Source organism: Homo sapiens, chromosome 7, assembly GCF_000001405.40.
Source record: "Homo sapiens chromosome 7, GRCh38.p14 Primary Assembly".
NCBI classification, from domain to species: domain Eukaryota; kingdom Metazoa; phylum Chordata; class Mammalia; order Primates; family Hominidae; genus Homo; species Homo sapiens.
Window position 1 is genome coordinate 141,835,474 of NC_000007.14, and position 19,568 is coordinate 141,855,041.

Here is a 19,568-nt window from a genome sequence, read left to right on the forward strand (position 1 = left end):
CTCCCAAAGGCCCCACCTCTAAATACCATCACTTTGGGGATTAGGTTTCAACTTATGAATTTTGGGGGGACATAAACACTCAGTCTGTAGTAGTGCTTTACCAATTTCTCAAGCATATAGGACTATTTTAGGACCATGGTCTATGGCTAAGCCCAATTTCTGCCCTTCACCTCATCTCAGCCATCTCTGCCTTTCAAGCTCTGCTACTGCCTATATCTTCTTTGGATTTACATGACATCTTCACCTTTCACTGGAGCTGCCAAACTCCCTTGTGGACTTGATTTATGATTGTTGACCTTGTTCTGAAGTTTTGTTTTTTACTTTCTACTCTTCCACTAACTCTCTGTCTGAACATACTGCAATCTATGTAGCACTGAGATGAGGTATGACTTTTCCTCAGAGAGCTTATCCCAGTACCCAAGATCTTAGCCACAAGTGAGAGCTTCAAGCCCTTTGAGTGGAAAGAGAGGGAGGCAAATAAATAGGAGCCAACATCTTTTATGATGCTGTAGACTCCCATATAACACTGAGGCTAATAACAAGGAATTTAGAATCTGACAATTTTGGGTTCCATTTCAGGCTCTGATATCCACCAGCTATGGGCAATGTTAAATAACCTCTTTTAGCCTGCATTTTCTCATGTGTAAAGTTGGAACAAAAGATAACCTCAAAGGTTTGTTATGAGCATTAAATGAGATAACGAATGTAATCCCGGACAGTGTAGTAAATGTTCATTTCATGAATTTGATCTTAGTTCTTCACACCGTTGTAGGATACAGAGACACAAACAAGAAAACATTGGCTACTAGTATGCTACATTCCCAAATTTTCATTTGGAGATTTTATTTTGAATAGAGGGAAAATTATCTGCTTGTATAGTCCATGGCAGAGCCAGTGGAATGCAGAGGGAGAAGTAGGGTCTCACTTGTCCTTAGCAGTGTTCTCAATCCAGGATACATATTTGTAAACATTGGTGTAGATGCCGACGTCCCCTCCCATGAAGTGCCCCACCTCGATTCCCTGGAGCTTGTCTTTGCAGATGACAGTAGCAACGGCCACCTCCTACCGGAGATCATGCAGAGAGAGAGAGAGAGAGAGAGTAAGAGTGTCAGATCTTCTCACAGGAACCCTAGTGTCCCGCTTGGGTGAGCCCTGTCTGCAGGCATATGCTGGACTCTTGAAAAGAGCACCGAATCAGGGGACAGGATGCTTGAGCCTTTTTTCTCATTTTGCTGTAATTAGCTTTGTGTGACCTTGAAAAAGTCAGAGGACAGTCTCTCTAGAAATCACATGTAAAATGGGTCAGACTCCATTTTTTTGAACTGGTGAAGGCATTTTCTATTTGTGAAAAGTCTGATTTATTTTTAAAGAAATGCCTATTTTCACAATTTTGCTTGTAGTTATAAGAATGAATACCTAGGAAATGGTGTGCTTAACTGGAAGTACTTTATAATGTCCTTTAATGAATAAAGACAATTTAAGGGGATCCCATTACTGAAGAAACAATGCTGGCTTTGCAGCAGCCTTATCAAATTCTCAAAAAATTATTTAGACATCTAAAATAGTTTTTACATCAAGAGTCAATAGTTAACCGGGCATATGCAAGTAAATGAAAGCTGAATATAGAGATAAGATTACCCCAAAAATTCGGCTGAATACTTTCACAAATTTCACACATAAGGAATTCCTGTGGCTTTTTCCTTGTTCTGTTTTTTGGCATTCTCGATCAGACATCACGGGGGCCTCCAGGTTCTGCCGCAAGTCAGGGTGTCGGCCTGAGGGAGACGGGGATAAAATAAAACATCCTGTTGACAGTGGTTATTTTAGTCCTTCTGACCACCAGCCTCTATTTCAACTGGTATCTTTTTGTGTGTGTTTAAAGAAAATAAGGAATGCGACAAAGGAGAGAAATCATCAAGAGTGTGGTTATGAGCTAATCTTGAGGATTTTGAAAAAGGCTTTACGTCTCTTTAAGGTAGAGTATATTTTTAATTGGTGGCCTGTCTTGGAGAACTAAATGACCTGAGGCAATTCTCAGAGGTGTCCTTTACATGTGAAATGAGCATGTATGAGAAGTAGGACCACACCTTGTTCATGTGAATTGTGTCTCTGCCAATCAGGAATGGCTGGGCCTCTGTGCAGAGTCAGATGGCCTGGTGGCTCCAGCTGCCAAAGCCCTGCAGAGGCAGTGGGATATTAGACACCCTGGGAAAGGAGGAGCTTTGTTCCTCTGGGCAGGTCTCTGTTTGCCAGACCACTCAGGTAGCATCTCTATTGGGTCTCCTTTCACTCTCCTTTCCTCCTCTCTCCTCACAGCTATGAGGATATGGATGTTCCTCCTAAAGGACAACTGATGACCCTGATTTGCTGTGGAAGGCACACTTACCACTGTTTTCTTGGCTCCAGTCCAAACCTGAGAGTAGACAGACAGTGCCTGGCCTGACATTGGTGGTGGCGAGGGTAAGGGGCTGGACTTTGGGATTGAGCATGGCAGGCTTAGCCAGCTTGATGAGCATGAGGTCATCCTGTGGGGCGCTATGACTGTAGTTCCAGTAGCGGACGATCTGAATGGGGTTAATTGTCTGTTCAGTACCGTCTCTGACTCTGCTCTTGAAATTTCCCAGCATCACTTTCAGATTTCTGGAGGGAGAGGGGTTGGAAGTAATCATCATCATCATCATCATCATTGCTAAGATACTGAATGTTACAAAGTGCCAGGAACTGTACCAAGTGCTTTTTCTGGATTATGTCATTTAACTCACAACAAGTCTATGCAGTGGATTCCATTTTTATCCCCATTTAGCACATGAATTAATGGGGGCACATAGGAGTAATTCACTCAGGGTGATATAGTAAGTAGTGGAGCCCTTCACTACATTTTAATGTTGTGTTCTTTAATGTAGTGGAGAGGAAGAGGATGCATGTCAAGGAAATGTAATTTTCTCGCCTATCTAACTGAACAATGTCCATTTTGGTGGAGACCAGAGAATAAATAACCTAGTTCTGGGTGTCTCCTGTTTGGTTCCCTAGCTGATGCACTAACAGTCCTATTCCATTCTGCTCTGCACCTTTGGAAGGGGACATATATGGATTTAATCAGTGGGCTCTCTTGTCCTCTGGCTTCCTTCTATTGGCCAATAGGAAGCACCAGAAAGTAACTGGAGGAAGAAGAGTGAGATTGGAGTACTTATCCTCCCAGGTCCCTCCCTGCAGTTTTGTCACAGAGTGGCTGTGCTCCTTGACTAGGGGTTACAATCCTTATCAGGCTGTCTCCTCACACAGGTCTCGCTTTTTCTCTATCTCTCCTTGCCTCCTTTGAAATTATCTTCTCCTCTTGCCTTTTTAGGCCTAGAGGTGGTAACTGCATTTTCTTAATACAAACCCTGGTGGTATGGAACTATTCTTAATATTGTCCCTTTAATGTCTCCATACCTTTGCAATTGGTTCCTTCTTAAAACTCACCTCAATTGACCCAATTTGAGTGCATCATCAGTTACCTGCTAGATCTTTAAGTGATAAAATGCATTCATACTGCCAGTAAAAAAAAAAAAAGAAAAAAACTTATGAGAGTCTGAGGAGGCATAACATGTAACACAGGGTTCCTCAACAGTGGCACTATTGCTGTTCTGGGCTGGACAAATCTTTATTGTGGGGACTGTGCTGTGAATTGTAGGATGTTAAACAGCATCTTTGCTCTAGCCTCTCCCCATTAGATGCCAATAGCACTGCCCCCTGGTTGTGACAACCAAAAATATCTTCAGACATTGCCAAGTGTACCCTGTAGAGAAGTTACCCTTATATGAGAACCACTGATCTAGAATGAACAGTAGCTGTTTTGGGGATGGGGATGCCCAAATACTCAACGGTAAATAGCAGTGAGCTGGGGCCAGCACCCAGCTGGGTTTGATGAGGACGCCCACACAGGGGTTGAAGTGAGACTTGAGGTACACCAAATAGGGAGCAGGGTCTTCTTTCTGAACAGATGAGTCAGCAAAGAAAAATGTCCCTGAGAAAATAATGAACATTCTTAATACATAAATATTATAAAAATAAGGTAACAGTCTCTTACTTGAAAAGGAATCTGGATGATTCTTAAACAGTTATCAGTTGGCCAAGAAGTGTTAACGTATTTGACATGTTTTTCTAATAAAAATGTAAATTAAAACGATATGCCATTTTATCTTATATTTATAATAATTTTGTTTAATATTGATAATATTCAATCTAAGAGAGTATAATGAGAGACACTCATCACTGCTAGTAAATTGATTCCATCTTCTTGAAAAGCAATTTAGAAACAGGCATCAAGAATCATAAATTGTTTATAACCTGTGACCTAATCATTCCAACCCCAAGAATCCATTCTAAAGAAAAAAATCAGATATAGACAAGGATTACAAACAAGTATGCTCATGTTAGCTATAACAGCTGAACACTGGAAACATAAATATCTGACATAGTAATGTTGGACATTGAAGCACATCAAAAAGTGGAACATCATATATAATAAAAATTAAACTAATTAGAATATTAAACAGCAAAAGAATATTAATGCTTATTTAAGTTAAAAAGAACAAGAAAATTGTGGATATAATCTATTTGTCTAAAAACAAATAAATAAAAACATTTAAATGCAAAAAATATATAGATTCTGAGAGTAAACTCAAAGTGTTAGCATGTGTTGACTAAGAGGTGGGATTATGAATGATGCTTATTTTTCTACTTTAAAAATGTCTAAATTTTGTAATATGAACATATATTGTTTTTATAAATGAATTATTTAAAACATACCCTAGAGAATAAAGGGGAGGAAGGCTGATTCTAGTATCAGAAATAAAGCCCTCTTCTTGTCTTGGCTTCTCTTGCTACTCCTGTTAACCTTCCCCAAGACTGGGTCTGTACCTCACCACACCCTTCTGTGTGATCACACAGTTAGAAACCCCAAAGAGAAAAGGGTAGACTGTAAACAAGGGCAAGAGACATTGAGCTCTCTATAGCAGGCATTGTTCTAAGTGCTTTACATAGATTTATTTAATCTTCACAATAGCTCTATAATATGGGTAGTCATACCCCCATTTTGAAGAAATTGAAGCACAGAAGAGTTAATTAACTTGGCTAATCTCACACAGCTAATGTGTGATACAACCTAGGCAGTCAGAGAATGGTGGGAAATGCCTCATCTGCAAATTCTGCTGTCAGAAGAACCCCATGTGGGGCAAGGACTACAGAAGGTAGGGTCCTAGTACTTGATCTTTTGTTTCTACTTCTCTGTTTTCTGCATTAGTGTCGGTGGGAGGACACTCACTGTTAAGCCTTCTCCAAGGCACATGTGTGCCTTAACCCACCCTATAGCTTAACACTAGAAAAGTGGGCTCAGCCTATCCGGAGAGCCTTTGGATGGAGTCTGAGAGGCAGGACTCCTAATTCTGCTGATGACACTATTTTTGACTCTTTTTCTGCACCCTTCGCAATCCTGCCTCTGTCTCACCCCATCCATTAAACTGTGCCTTACAGGACAGAGTACAAGGTCTTGAGTACATACCAGCGAGGACACCCAAATAGAAGACATATTTCATGGTGATCCAGCTCTTCCCCCTGTGAGATGTAGAAGAAAATCAGCAGAGTGTGGAGCGGTTGGCTTAGTTGTCTTCTCAGGAACACCTGGTAGACTCAGTGGCTATGGTTAGATACGGAGGCACTCCATGGGATTGGAAAGCAGCTCTGGGCATAAACAGGGGAGGGAGATGGCTTCAGAGAGACAGATGAAAGCCCTCTGTTCCAGGGAAGGTGGAGGACTGTGCCTCTGTTGGGGCATTTCAGGGAAGGAAACTCCTGGATTCAGCTCCTTCTATCTGCTGCCCCTAAAAACACATCTGTTTGAAGGTAGTTCAGTTGTCTGTGGAAATGGCAGCTCTAGGCTCAGGACTTATCTTCCCCACAGAGTTTCTGAGACCAGGGCTATGAGGGACAATATTCTTTACCTTAGCTCAGGGAGTAAGTGTCCTGAGGTTTGCTCTGAACCTCCTAATAGTTACTTATACTTTCCCCAGCCCCTCCCATCTTTGTTACACTAGCTTCATATGTCCCTCTGATCACTGTTTCATCACTCAGTCATCATCACCAACTTGGTGTTTTTTGTCCTGAGCAACAGCATTGAGCCAAGAAAATATGGAAATGAAAAGCATTCATAGAACAGTTATCTTGATAGTTGGGGAATTGTTTACAGTCTAGATGACATTAGGCCTGGTGACAATTCAGAAGGCAGTACCTCTAATACTTAAAGACTTAGACCAATATTAGACTACCAAAGTCATCCTTGGATAATTGGGAGCATAGTCTAACAAGAAAATGAGCGGTAACACTAATAGCTGATATCCTCTAAGCATTTACTGAATCCTAGGCACTGAGCTAAGATCTTTACGGACTTGTCAGTAGAGATTTTATATCAGGTTAGTCTGAGATGTAAAATTCACTACACTTTGTATCACTCTAACCCTTTAAAGTTTCTTAAACCCATAATCTCTTTCCAAATGTCACAACAACCCTAGAAAGAAGAGATAGGGCTGGGTCTGGTATCTATTTCTGGTCTGTGGGTGGCAGAACTGAAGCAGAGAGAATCTAAGTAGTTTTCCCAAAGTCACATGTCGTGGACAATGAGAAATAGGCCTTGTCACTGGTGTAGGGTTGCAGGTCCCCCACCAGGATACTTAAGGGTGTATGACCACTGCTTGAACCTTAATGGCTAAGTAGTGAGTCAAGGACACGGTGCCCAGCCAAGAAGCAGGTATCCTTGATGGCCAAGTGGTGAGTCAACGCCATGGTGTCCAGCTGAGGAGCAGGTGTCCTTGAGTACCCAAACATCCCAGAGAATACCTGAGAACCTATCAAGGAAAACAGTCCCATCATGCACACACAGTAGGCAAAGAGCCAGAAAATTAGCTTAAAAGCAGCTTAGAGATGGAAAGCAGGGCAGGTCTCTAAAGGTGTCCTCTGCTATCTAGGAGTGTCTCATATGTAAGTCCTAATAAACTTATCCACTGGCCAAGCTGGACTTGTCTGAGTCATTCTTTGGTCTCTTGGCTCCCTCCTAGTTTGGGGGAAAGGTTTTTTTAAAAATATGATTCTGGATTTTTCTTGTTACAATTGGCATCACAAATGGGGTCAGAGAGACCAAACTTCGAGCCAGGAATGAGTGTCTATGGTGGGGAATCCCTGGGCAGTCGGCAATGTCCATGTGGAGTGGAGTTGCCCAACTGCACAACTTTTGTGGGCCACTGCATGAGTACAGGGATGCTTGGAAAACATGGGCAAGGACTGAATACCTATTGCCAAGAAGCCAAGATATTAAAGTATGATAATGATAGTAAATGTGGTGTTATTGCAATAAGGCTGGCTAATCACAAATCATTAGAGCAGGAAAGGGAGAAAGGGTAGAAACTCCAGCAGAAGCTAAAAGGCATGGTTTTCTAATCCTCCAGCTGGTTACATATTATGGCCCTTTCTTGTGTACATTTTAAAACTGACGGGCAAATTACAACAAGAAAAATTCAGAGCTCAAATGTTTAATCTACAACTATAGAGTTAAGTAGAGTCTTCTAAAGCTCTCTATTTCTCTTTCCTTTTCTGCCTGCTTTGAATCTACTGTTAATAAGTTACTGGTATTGAGATAAAACTCACTAATTCAAGGTCAATTTGAGATTTTTTTTTTCCTCATATGGTTCAGCCAGTTCTAGCTAAAATGTAAAGAATTAAACTCATTTGGAACTGAAAAAAAATGGATAAAGGAGGTTTTTAAAAATCAAACTGCCATAGAAACTGCTTTACCCAAATTATTGATCCACTGCTTTCCTTGGGTTACCTATTGGGGCAAATAAAGTTTAGCCATGTGAACAGGTCCCAATTTTATCAAAAATAATCTGGATCCAGCTGTCTTTTATATAGTAATGAGTTTGTGAAGCTAGAATTCCAAAAGCTATTGGTAAAAGCTATCGGATCTTGCATGTATATGTATAAACATGTTTAAATGTGTTATGTGTATGTGCATGTATTATGCTATGTGTTATATCTAGCATGGTACCGAATAGCTTATAAGTAAATACGTACTCATAAATTAAATAAGTCCAGATGCTCTTCAGGTTCACGTGAATTCAATAATCTTTGGTGAATAAGCTGGCTTCAAAATTTTTGATAAAATAAAAGTAGAAATGTCTTCAAAAGTGTCAGCATACATTTTTGTCTGAGTTTCTTGATTAGATAAGTTGTATATTTGCCCCTCCTAGATAGTTTAAGGTGTCAGGTTTCTGACATGAAGGTTCTAAGACTATAAATCCACCCAAAACAGAATGATCTTTGTGTGATTTTTTTGATAAGCAAGATTAATTTGATATTGTCAGTTTAATTAAAACAGCTGAATTTTCTGAGTTATTGGTAAAAATGCTTATGTCTTTAAGTTTCTTGATTAGACGAACATCTGATATTTATAAGCCATTAAAATGGTTAACAGGGAAATAACTCGTAATGATTATTAGCTTTGTCTAATAAGTCTAATGAGCTTTCGTTCTCATGAGTAATCCAGATAAACCACTAAAAATGAATAAATTCAGTAAATGTAAATGAGATAAACATAGGTAAAACTTTTTGTGTAGTTTAAAATCTTAAAATTATTTTAGCTACTCATTGAATGTCTGGGTCATTTCCAGTTTAGAAAGGGTTATGATATGAGACATTGGTTGCAGTTCTTTTGCCATTTAGTGGAAAATGGAATCTATGATATGGGGGAAGCATTGGTGGATCTCAGTGGGCTGGATAAGAGCAAGGACTAAATTCAGAAAGTAATCACTTGTCCCAGCACAGGCAGGCAGTGAATGTAAAACAATACTGCCTGCCAGGGGCACACTCTGAAATCATCAGAACAATTTAGGCATTCCATAAGGTACAAATAGGCTGGCCCAGAGCCCCTGTAACAGCCCTGGGTAGCCTGTGAAGACACCAGATGGCACCTGCAAAATGTTGGCAGGCTACCATGAGCTAAACAAAGTGTTGCTCCCTGTATATGCAGCTGCTGAACTACTAGAACAAGTGGTCCTCAAGCTGGGAAATGTCCATCCTGTGACTGACTTGTCTAATGGCTTTTCCAGTATCCCTTTAGCAGAAGATTCACAAGGTCAGTTTGTCTTCACTTAGGAGGGCCAACAATGGACTTTCCAGGTGCTAACACAAGGGTACCTGCACAGCTCCACCATCTGTCACAGCATGGTTGCATGGAACCTGTCTAGGCCCTGTTTGCCTGCCTCAATCTCCCTGTTTCACTATATTAATGATATCATGCTAACCTCAGAGTCTCTTACAGATCTGGAGACTGCTCTACAAACTGTCTTGGATACCCTAAAAGACAGGTGATGAGAAGTCAGCCCCCAAAAGATAAAGGAGCCTGGCATAACTGTCAAGTTCCTGAGAGTTACCTGGTAGGGTAAGACGTGAAACATAAGCTAGCACAGCAGCCTGTTCCCTAGATGGTAAACTAACACCAGGTGTTCTTAGGTTTACTGGGCTACTGGAGAATATTGATTCCTCATCTGGCACAAACCCTCTGCCCATTATACACCCTCATAAAGAAAAATAAACAATGGGACTGGACATACATGGAGCAAGAGGCATCTGACAAGACAAAAATATTGGTGAAACAAGTGCAAGCAATAGGGTCCCCACTGCCACAGCACCCTTTTGTGTTAGAATTCACTAAAGATGCCATGGGGATGATTTGGGGTTTGTGATAAAAGCAACCAATGTGAATGGTACCTGTAGGATTTTGGTCTCAATTATGAAAGAGTGCAGGACCTACTGTATAGTCCTCGAGCAACAGCTGTTGGCCATGTATAGGGCATTGCATGAAGTGGAGGCCATCACCAGGAAGCAGACTATCACACTAAAAACTGCCTACACCATAAAAGGATGAATGGAAGGCCTTGTAGCCAACACCATCTCTGGGGTAGCACAGTCACACACCCTACAAAAATGGCACACCTATCTGCAACAGAGGGGTGTCTCATCCACTAGTCTTTTAAGTCAAGCACTACAGGAGGTGCTCAGACCCATCCACTTTGAACAACTGGAGGGGTTTGACATGACAGTGGGGCCACCTACTACGCCAATCACTGTATATAAGGGGACCCTGCCCGTAACTGCTAGGACCTGCTACACTGGTGGGTTTAACAAAGGCAGCCAGCACCAATGGTCAACAGTTGTAGCGCAAATGAACCTTGATACCTTATGGATAGAATAGGGATTAGGACAAAACATTCAGTGGGTCAAGCTATGGGCAGTTTGGATACTCATCACCCACAAGCCCTGGTCACTAGTCACTTGGACAGAGTTAGGCTACATACAGAGGCCTTACCATGTGGATCAATCAATGGACTGCAGAAAATCAACAGGTTTTGGGCAGGCCCATTTGGGGAATGTCCATGTGGCAGGATGTTCACCTCAGGTTACAAGAGAACGATGTGCATCTGATGGTGTATCAGGTAGATGCACACAGCCCCAAGTCACCTCCCAGAAATCATGAGGCAGACACCTTACTCATGTTCAGGCAATTTACCCTAGCCCATTGGAGGAGGATGCCATGTGGATACCTCATAAGAGTGGCCACCAGTGGGTGGCTATAGGGTGGGTCATAGCAAAGGCAGCAGGCATCCCTTTCCAAATGCAGATGTTCTGGCAGCTGTTCAGAACTGTGAAATCTGTTCATGGCTGTGACCTAGAAAAATTCCCTCCACATCAGTTCACATACATCGAGCCATGCAATCTGTGTGAGAATGGCAAGTTGATTATATTGGACCCTTGCCTCAAAGTGGAGGGAAAAATATGCCTTAACTTGTGTGGGCACAACAACAAGGCTGCCACAGGTCTTCCTAGTAAAAAGTACCACTCAACTGGAGACTGCCAAGTGTCTCACTGATATTAGCGTCATGTATGGCATGCCAAGAAGGATAAATAGTGATCAAGGCCCCTATTTCATGGGCCATGATATCCAATACTGGGCATCAAAACAAAGTATACACTGGAGGTTTCCCTTACCATATAACCCAACAGGGACAGGCCTTATAGAAAAAAAGGATGTTCATTAAAAACCCAGTTACGTGCATTGTCTCAGGGTGGTTCTCTAAGGTCCTGGGCTAAGAATCTCCCTGAAGCTATACAAACTTTAAGTGAGTCACCAACGACCACCATGGTATCATTTCCTATGAATGGTTGGCAAGGCCTGTGAAACAGGTCCCACAAACTCTGAGGGATGCCTCTGAGACTCTGAGAAATGCTCCTGAAAAGATGGACAGGCTGTGCTCCTGAGAACACCAGTGGATCTGCTAAGAGGTGATAGCTATGTGGACCTGAAGTTGAGCTGGAAAGTGCCCCTATGCTGGACTGGTTTTATGGCACTGGAGAATGCCATGAAGACAGTTGGAGGGGAGGTCATCCCAGCTGTGCTCCTTGATGGAGGTCCGAGAGCCTTACAATGTCAACACATGGCAGCACCAATACCTCTGGAGCAGGCACCATGCAGATAGTGTGGGCAAGGCCAGAAGCTTAGCAATTGGATGCTTACCCACTCCTAGGGAGAGAAGCTATGTGTGGTGCTGTAAGACAGACCTGAGACCCATAGTGGCCTCCCTGATAAGACCAATGAGAGAATATACAGCGCTAATAATGTTATAAGGAGTGGATGTACCCATGAAAGTTCCTACTAAACATCTGTGTCTATGTCCACAGGCTGTTGTTACTGCTACCCACAGCAGCTGGTAATGTCTTTCTGGACTGGGCTGCGACTACAGCAACAATCAGCAACCAGTCTGATTGTTGCGTTTATGAATACCTTTCCCTAACAAATGATAATGATATGTCTTGGAATAGTCTGCCTTTATCCCTACAGAATTGGAGTGACTGGTTCAGCAGCACTAATAATGCGACTCGGGTTCACTGGAGATTGCCTTCACTTGGAAGCCCAATTGCCAACTTGATGGTGATCCAACTACATGTTCCCTTATAGGCTCTGTTGTCCCTATATCCCTGATAAAGAGAATAATGTTACAGATACTTTAAATCATTTGTCAACTCAGATCTATGACATAAGTCATTCAGGTTTCTTTGACCTATTTTCAGATTGGTCACACATCTTACCTACTCATTGGAGTTATGTTTTGCCAAAAGGTGTTATAATTGTAGTTAGCTTCTGCTTTTTATGCTCTTGTGTACACTGTGGATGTGGCCTGTATGCACAAGCCATGGCTATACATTATTAGTATGTATAGTTCTTCCCGTCGTGCCCAGCTCAGGGACTCTCATGCAAGATTGGCAGCAAGAATGTATGAGTTTGTGGACAGGGTGGATTTTAATGTGACAGGTCCTCCACCATGTTACTTAAAGGATGTATGTCCACTGCTTGAACCATAAAGGTTGGACAGTGAGCCAAGACCATAGTGCCCAGCTGAGGGGCAGGTGTCCCTGAGAACCCAAATATCCCAGAGAATATCTGAGAACCTACCAAGGAAAACAGCCCCATCACACACACACAGTAGGCAAAGAGCCAAAAAATTAACTTAAAAGCAGCTTAGAGATTGAAAGCAGGGCAGATCTCCAAAGCTGTCCTCTGGCGTCCAGGAGTGCCTCTTATGTGAGTCCTAATAAACTCATCTATTCACCAAACTGGACTTGTCTGAGTCATGTTTTGATCTCTCGGTTCCAGCCCAGTTTAGGGGAAGGTTTCGTTTTGTTTTGTTTTTTAAATGATTTCTTCCAACCATGTCCTCCAGCATGGAGCTCTTAACACTGTGCAGTCACTCCCACAAATTCCCTAAAATGTAGAATGAAAAACGTACATGGCATACACTCTCCTGAAACTCACAACCAACGTAGAGGTGTGCTGGGGAGTAGTGCTGGTTTATGAAATGTTCTTGAGATTCTAAGATGGGGTGGAGTTGTAGAAAGTTCTGTGTGTACGTGTGTGTGTGTGTGTGTGTGTGTGTGTGTTGCGGGGAGGGACTAGTTAAAACAGGTAAGAAGTTGAGAAAGAGATATACTTTACTCTGAGCTTGTTTTTCCTAGACTTTTCAGACATATTATGAACCAGGAAAAGAGTCTGTAGCCTGGTTTGGGAGGGTGAAGGGGTTGCTATCTAAGAAAAGATATCTAAAGTCAACAGATTTTCTGGAGGAGATTGGCACTGGGACTACAACCTATCTCTAATTTTCAAATTGATATCTTTGGGCCTACGCATACAACTCTCTCCTGGAAACAATTTTTTTGTCTCTCCTCTAGACCCTTGAAATTTGTCAAAATTAAACTCCTCATATGCCTCCAGTCTTTCAAATTAATTCTGCTCTGCAGTTTTGTCTAAATACCTATGATACTTGTAACTTTTCTGTTGTGCTTGTTCTGTGTTTATTTTTGTCTTTTTTTCTGTGTTCTCTGATTTTGAGCATTTTACAATTCCATGTTCTCACCTCTCAACATACCACTTGTCATCCAAAGAGCTTTTTATTTTAGTCTTTGAATTTTTTAGTTCTATAATTTTTATTTCTTTTTTACAGTTCTATTTCTTCAGTGAGATTTTACACTTTTAAAAACTCTGTTTCAAGAGTGTTCTTATTAAAATATTTTTATAGTTGCTGCTCTAAAATTCTTGTCCCATAATTTGATCATAGTCATAATAGAATCGTTGGGATGTATTGATTGTCTTTTCTTTCAAGTTCCAGGTATTTCATTTGTTAGTGAGGACGTGGAAGGGCTAAATTATCTTCTCTACTTATTATGCCTGAATTTCAGTTCCCAGCCCTGTGTGGGAACTCTTCTTGCTCTTCAGGGGGTGATAATGGCTGCATACTGCTTCTTACCATAAGTTACAGGACCAATCCACTTTGCTCCAAGGTTCCAAGGTTGGGACTCAGCACTCTTTTTGGAAATTCTACAAAACCTGTGTTCATCAGGAAATCTTAGCGGTATGCAGGTGAAGGGGAGCTCAGCTATTAAGATAAAACTTGCCTAAGAAATATTCCACTTTTAGCCAAGCGAAAATAAATATAGTATATTACACAGACAGTCATGTGTCACTTAAAAATAGGAATATGTTCTGAGAAATGTGTTGTCAGGTGATTTTATTATTATGCAGGCATCATAGAATGGACTTACATAGACCTAGATGGTATAGCCTACTACACACGTAGGCTGTATGGTATAGCCTATTGCTCCCAGGCTACAAACCTGTACAGCATGTTACTGTACTGCATATTGTAGACGATTGTAGCACAGTGATATTTGTGTGTTTAAACATATCTAAACACAGAAAAGGTACAGTAAAATATAATATTGTAATCTTATGGGGCCACTCTCATACATGCAGTCTGTTGTTGACCCGAATGTCCTTGTGTGGTACATAACTATATGTAAAAATAACTCCCCAAACCTGTTCTTAATGTTTTAAAGATCCATCTAAAGTATCATGACTATATTTTATTTTCACTGCTATCTAATATTTCTTTTTATTTATTTATTTTTTTTTTTTGAGACGGAGTCTCACTGTCGCCCGGGCTGGAGTGCAGTGGTGCGATCTTGGCTCACTGCAAGCTCCGCCTCCCGGGTTCATGCCATTCTCCTGCCTCAGCCTCCCGAGTAGCTGGGACTACAGGCGCCCGCCAGCAGGCCCGGCTAATTTTTTGTATTTTTAGTAGAGACGGGGTTTCACCGTGTTAACCAGGATGGTCTCCATCTCCTGACCTCATGATCCGCCCGCCTCGGCCTCCCAAAGTGCTGGATTACAGGCATGAGCCATGGCGCCTGGCACAGCTGTCTAATATTTCAATGTGAATATCACGCAATTTGTTCATTATTTTCTTGGCAGATATTTGAGTTATTTATAGTTTTGTGCTGTTTCGAAGAGTATTGCTGTAAATATATTTGTACCATGTACCCTGGAAAGTATTCTTGTGTATATATCTGCTGTGTGTGTGTATGTGTTTGTGTGTGCATTGGTGTATATCTGCAAGTATATCTCCGGGTGTATACCTCCAGAGTATATAATTAGGAGTGAAATTGTTGGGCTGTAGACAATGCAAATGTTCACTTAAAAATCCTCCAGTAATCTGAGTTCTTCCAATATTGGATATTGTCAAACTTTTAATTTTTTTTCCAGATTGTCAAATATTTTGTTATGCTCTTAATTTTATTACTTTTGTTAATAATGATGATTAGCATCATTTCACCACCTCCTCCTCCTTTTACCAGTGGTTCCTTTAGAAAACACTTTTGCATGTCTTTTGAACATTTCGTATATTGAATTTCTAAAATATTGCTTTTTTGGACTTCTACAGATGCTCAAGATATTACTCTTTTGTCAGTTATATATATTTAAATATCTTCTTCAAGCTTGTGGCTTAATCTTCCCTTTGTGGTGTATTTTGATGAATGAGAGCACTTAACTTTAATATAATTTAATTTAACACAAATTATTCATCTTTGTTTGTGCTTATTGTGTATTGGCTCAGGTGAAAATATCCTTTATGACCTTAAGAGATAAGAAAGATATTCTAAACTTACTTCTACAGATCTGATAAACAACTTCAGCAAAGTTTCAGGATACAAAATCAATAGCATTTCTGTACACCAACAATGTCCAAGCTGAAAACCAAATCAGTAATGAGATGTCATTCATAGTAGCCACAAAATAAATAAAATACCTAGGAATACAGCTAACCAGGGAGGTGAAAGATCTCTACAACTAGAATTACAAAATACTGCTAAGGAAATCAGATGACACAAAGGGATGGTAAAACATTCCATGCTTATGGATTGGAAGAATCAATATCATTAAAATGGCTAACGATTTTAATGATATTGACCAAAGCAATTTAGAGAGTCAATGATATTTCCATCGAACTACCAACATTTTTTTAACAGAATAAGAAAAAAAAAAACTATTCTAAAATCAAAATAGAACCAAAAAAGAGCCCAAATAGCCCAAGCAATCCTAAGCAAAAAGAAGAAAGCTGGAGGCATTACATTACTCAACTTCAAAGTGTACTACAAGGCTACAGTAACCAAAATGACATAGTACTGGTACAAAAACAGGCACATAGATCAATGGAACAGGTCACAAAACCCAGAAATAAAGTGGCACATCTACAACCATCTGATCTTTGACAAAGGTGACAAAAGCAATGGGAAAGGACTCCCTGTTCAATAAATGGTGCTAGAATAACTGGCTAGCAATATGCAGAAGATTCAAATTCAAACTGGACCCCTTCCCTTCACCATATACAAAAATCAACTCAAGATGGATTGAAGACTTACATGTAAAACCTAAAATGAATAGAACTTTAAAAATATGATTCTGGAGATAGGACCTTGCAAAGATTTCATCTTTGTTTGGCTCCATTGGGTATAGAGGTATTGTGATCTTTTGGGGGTGTTATAGAACCCGGTTTTGTCATACTACCAATATTATTTTTATGATTCCTTCTCATTTGGGTAGTCTATTTCTTCTAATTATTCTTGAATTTACTTTTGATTTGACTATGTTTTTTAAAATTTCCTTTTCCCCCTTAAGGCAGTGATTTTAATGTTTATAATTTATTATAGTCTAACTTGGCTCTTGGTGCTTTCAGAGTTGAAGACTATTACTTCCTTGGTTATAGAGTCTCTTTGATGGCTTTTTCAGGTGCTGGTTGTGGTAGCAATGTACTCAGTGTGTGAGCAAATTCACTGTTTTTTTATAGGGTTGGAATGGCAGAAGTCTCTTGAAGCTTTTCTCATTCCCCTATGGTGTGGACTTTATTTATTTATTTTTTTCCCCCGTATTTTATTTACTGGTTTGAATAGTTTAGGCTTTTAGGTCAGTAGGGGAGGTATCCTGTATTAGTCCATTTTCCACTATGAAGAAATACCCAAGACTATGTAACTTATAAAGAAAAGAGGTTTAATTGACTCACAGTTCTGCGTGACTGGGGAGGTCTCAGGAAACTTAGAAGGCACCTCTTCTCAGGGCAGCAGGAGAGAGAATGAGTGCAAGCAAGAGAAATGCCAGATGCTTATAAAACCATCAGATCTCATGAGAATCCTCATTATCATGAGAACAATATGTGAGAAACCACCCCAGTGATCCAATTACCTCCACGTGGTCCTGCCCTTGACACATGGGGATTATTACATTCAAGGTGAGATTTGGGTGGGGACAGAGAACCAAACCATAATATTCAGCCCCAGGCCTCTCCCAAATCTCATGTCCTCACATTTCAAAACACAATCATGTCTTTCCAACTGTCCCCCAAAGTCTTAGCTCATTCCAGCATTAACCCAAAAGTCCGAGTCCAAAGTCTGATCTGAGACAAGGCAAGTCCCTTCCACCTTTGAGCCTGTAAAATAAAAAACAAGTTAGTTACTTCCTCGATCCAATAGGAGTACAGGCATTGGGTAAATAAACCAGTTCCAAATGGGAGAAATTGGCTAAAATAAAGAGACTACAGGCACCATGCAAGTCAGAATTCCAATAGGGCAGTCATTGAACCTTAAAGTTCCAAAATGATCTCCTTTGACTCCATGTCTCAGGTCAAGGGCATGCTGATGCAAGAGATAGGCTCCCAAGGCCTTGGGCAGTTTGGCTCTGTGGCTTTGCAGGGCACAATCCCCATCCCAGCTGCTTTCATGGGCTGGCATTGAATGTCTGCAGCTTTTCCAGGTGCACGGTGCAAGCTGTCAGTGGATCTACCATTCTGGAGTCTGGAGGGCAGTGGCCCTCTTCTCCCAGGCTCCACTAGGCAGTTCTTTAGTGTGGACTCTGAGTGGGGGCTCTGACCGCACATTTTCCTTCTGCATTGCCCTAGCGGAGGTTCTTCATGAGAGCTTCACCCCTACAGCAAACTTCTGCCTGGACATCCAGGCATTTCCATACATCCTCTGAAATCTAGGCAGATGTTCCCAAACCTCAATTCTTGACTTCTGTGCACCCACAGGCCCAACACCACATGAAAACTGCCAAGGCTTGGGGCTTGCACCCTCTGAAGCAACAGCTGGAGCTGTACATTGGCCTCTTTTAGCCATGAGTGGAGCTGAAGCAGATGGGACGTGGGGCACCATATCCTGAGGCTGCATAGAGGAGGGGGTCCCTAGGCCCAGCCCACAGAACCATTTTTCCCCCCTAGGCCTCCAAGCCTGTGATGGGAGGGGCTGCATGAAGGTCTCTGACATGCCCTGGAGACATTTTCCCCACTGTCTTGGTGATTAAACTCTTTCAACTTCTGCCCATTACCCAGTTCCAAAGTTGCTTCCACATAGCAATGTCCCACTCCAAGTACCAATTTACTCTATTAGTCCATTCTCATGCTGTTATGAAGAAATACCTGAGACTGGGTAATTTATTTAAAAAAGAGGTTTAATTGATTCACAGTTCTGCATGGCTGGCTGGGGAGGTCTCAGAAAACTTACAATCATGGCAGAAGGCACCTCTTCTCAGGGTGGCAGGAGAGAGAATGAGTGCAAGCAGGGGAAATGCCAGACACATATAAAACCACCAGATCTCATGAGATTCACTCATTATCACAAGAACATCATGGGTGGGACTTCCCCCATGATCCAATTACCTCCATCAAGTCCCACTCTTGACCTATGGGGATTATTCCAATTCAAGGTGAGATTTGGATGGGGACATAAAGCCAATCATATGATTTCCCACAGGTAAAAACAGCTTTGTCCAAAGCAGATGGGTAAATGTACTACCCAATGGTGGGCAGAGGTCCTGGCCTTGATGGAGGTGGCTGGCAGAACTCTGAGTAAAATGCACTGAAGTCTTATGAGAAGGAAGGACTAGAGCCACCTAATTTCCCCTAGAAGGCCAGCAGGAAAGCTATTCACCTCCTAGATACACTCCTGACCCAGTGTTCTAGCTATTCAGAACAGAGAAGCATCTCTTTTCATCTGTAGGAATGTTGATGTTCCAAGTATAGAGGAATTGTGACTCTGCATCTTGTTCAGACCTATACCTGGAAGGTGCTCCTTCTGTGGGGATGCAGTCACCCTGAAATGTTCCAGAGAGGTTCTATAGGTGCATCCACACTGAGCTCCCATGGGAAAAACTCCAGCTGTTTCTGCAGTGGTGGATGAGAGGGAAAAGAAGTCCCTTCTCCAAGATCCTTCACAAGCACCAAGGCTGCCTGACTGCTGTGGCATGGCTGCAGACTTTCCCTGCTGAACCCAGCACTCTGACTATGCTTTTGCTGAAATAAACGTCCCATTATTGAAAGATCTGGGACTTGAGGCCTGTCATTTGACTGTTTTTGTCCCATGGGGTTTTCCCTTGATATGGTGCACTCCCACTTCCCATAGGAGTAGGGCTCCTTGAGAATTAGACTACTGTGAATGCTGTTGTTCCTCTGGGTCTAGCTGCCCAGTGTGGTTGCCATACTCCAGGCTGGTGCTGGGGAATGTCTGCAAGGGATCCAGAGATGTGATCTGTCCTCAAGTCTCCTACCAGTGGTTACTAGTACCAGCTTTGATGGGGGTGGCAGGGGAGTAGCAGAGACTCTGAG

The 19,568-nt window shown here is 41.6% G+C and overlaps 1 protein-coding gene across 6 annotated transcripts, besides 1 other annotated feature; it reads right to left on the minus strand.

The window, feature by feature from the left end:
• Positions 1–804: 804 nt before the first annotated feature.
• On the minus strand, positions 805–6,012 carry PRSS37 (serine protease 37). 6 transcript variants are annotated; one of them, XM_005249947.4, is made up of 7 exons: positions 5,982–6,012; positions 5,543–5,595; positions 3,865–4,006; positions 2,387–2,640; positions 2,088–2,177; positions 1,639–1,775; positions 805–1,062 (listed from the first exon to the last, which is right to left on the minus strand). In XM_005249947.4, exons 2-7 carry the CDS (start codon positions 5,574–5,576, stop codon positions 922–924), a joined length of 798 nt encoding a protein of 265 aa, XP_005250004.1. In that variant the 5' UTR covers positions 5,577–5,595; positions 5,982–6,012; the 3' UTR covers positions 805–921. The 6 variants fall into 6 exon arrangements, with proteins under 6 accessions (XP_005250004.1, NP_001357332.1, XP_047275839.1 ...); NM_001370403.1 differs by lacking the exon at positions 2,088–2,177; XM_047419883.1 differs by lacking the exons at positions 2,088–2,177; positions 5,543–5,595; positions 5,982–6,012 and adding an exon at positions 4,792–4,876.
• Positions 2,278–2,482: a silencer, noted in NCBI's record as "fragment chr7:141537551-141537755 (GRCh37/hg19 assembly coordinates)". NCBI's record gives its function as "represses an EF-1alpha promoter that drives an FKBP-Casp9 reporter gene in an ReSE screen in K562 erythroleukemia cells {active_cell/tissue: K562}" and the evidence as "EXISTENCE:reporter gene assay evidence [ECO:0000049][PMID:32094911]".
• Positions 6,013–19,568: the final 13,556 nt, after the last annotated feature.

Excerpts from the sequence above, each read along its gene's own strand:
- PRSS37 (XM_005249947.4), bottom strand. The coding sequence starts at position 5,576 with ATGAAATATGTCTTCTATTTGGGTGTCCTCGCTG. Across the intron at positions 4,007-5,542 it reads CTATTTGGGTGTCCTCGCTG|GGACATTTTTCTTTGCTGAC; the intron begins GTATGTACTCAA and ends TTATTTTCTCAG. Across the intron at positions 2,178-2,386 it reads CTGGAGCCAAGAAAACAGTG|GGCTTTGGCAGCTGGAGCCA; the intron begins GTAAGTGTGCCT and ends CTGCCTCTGCAG.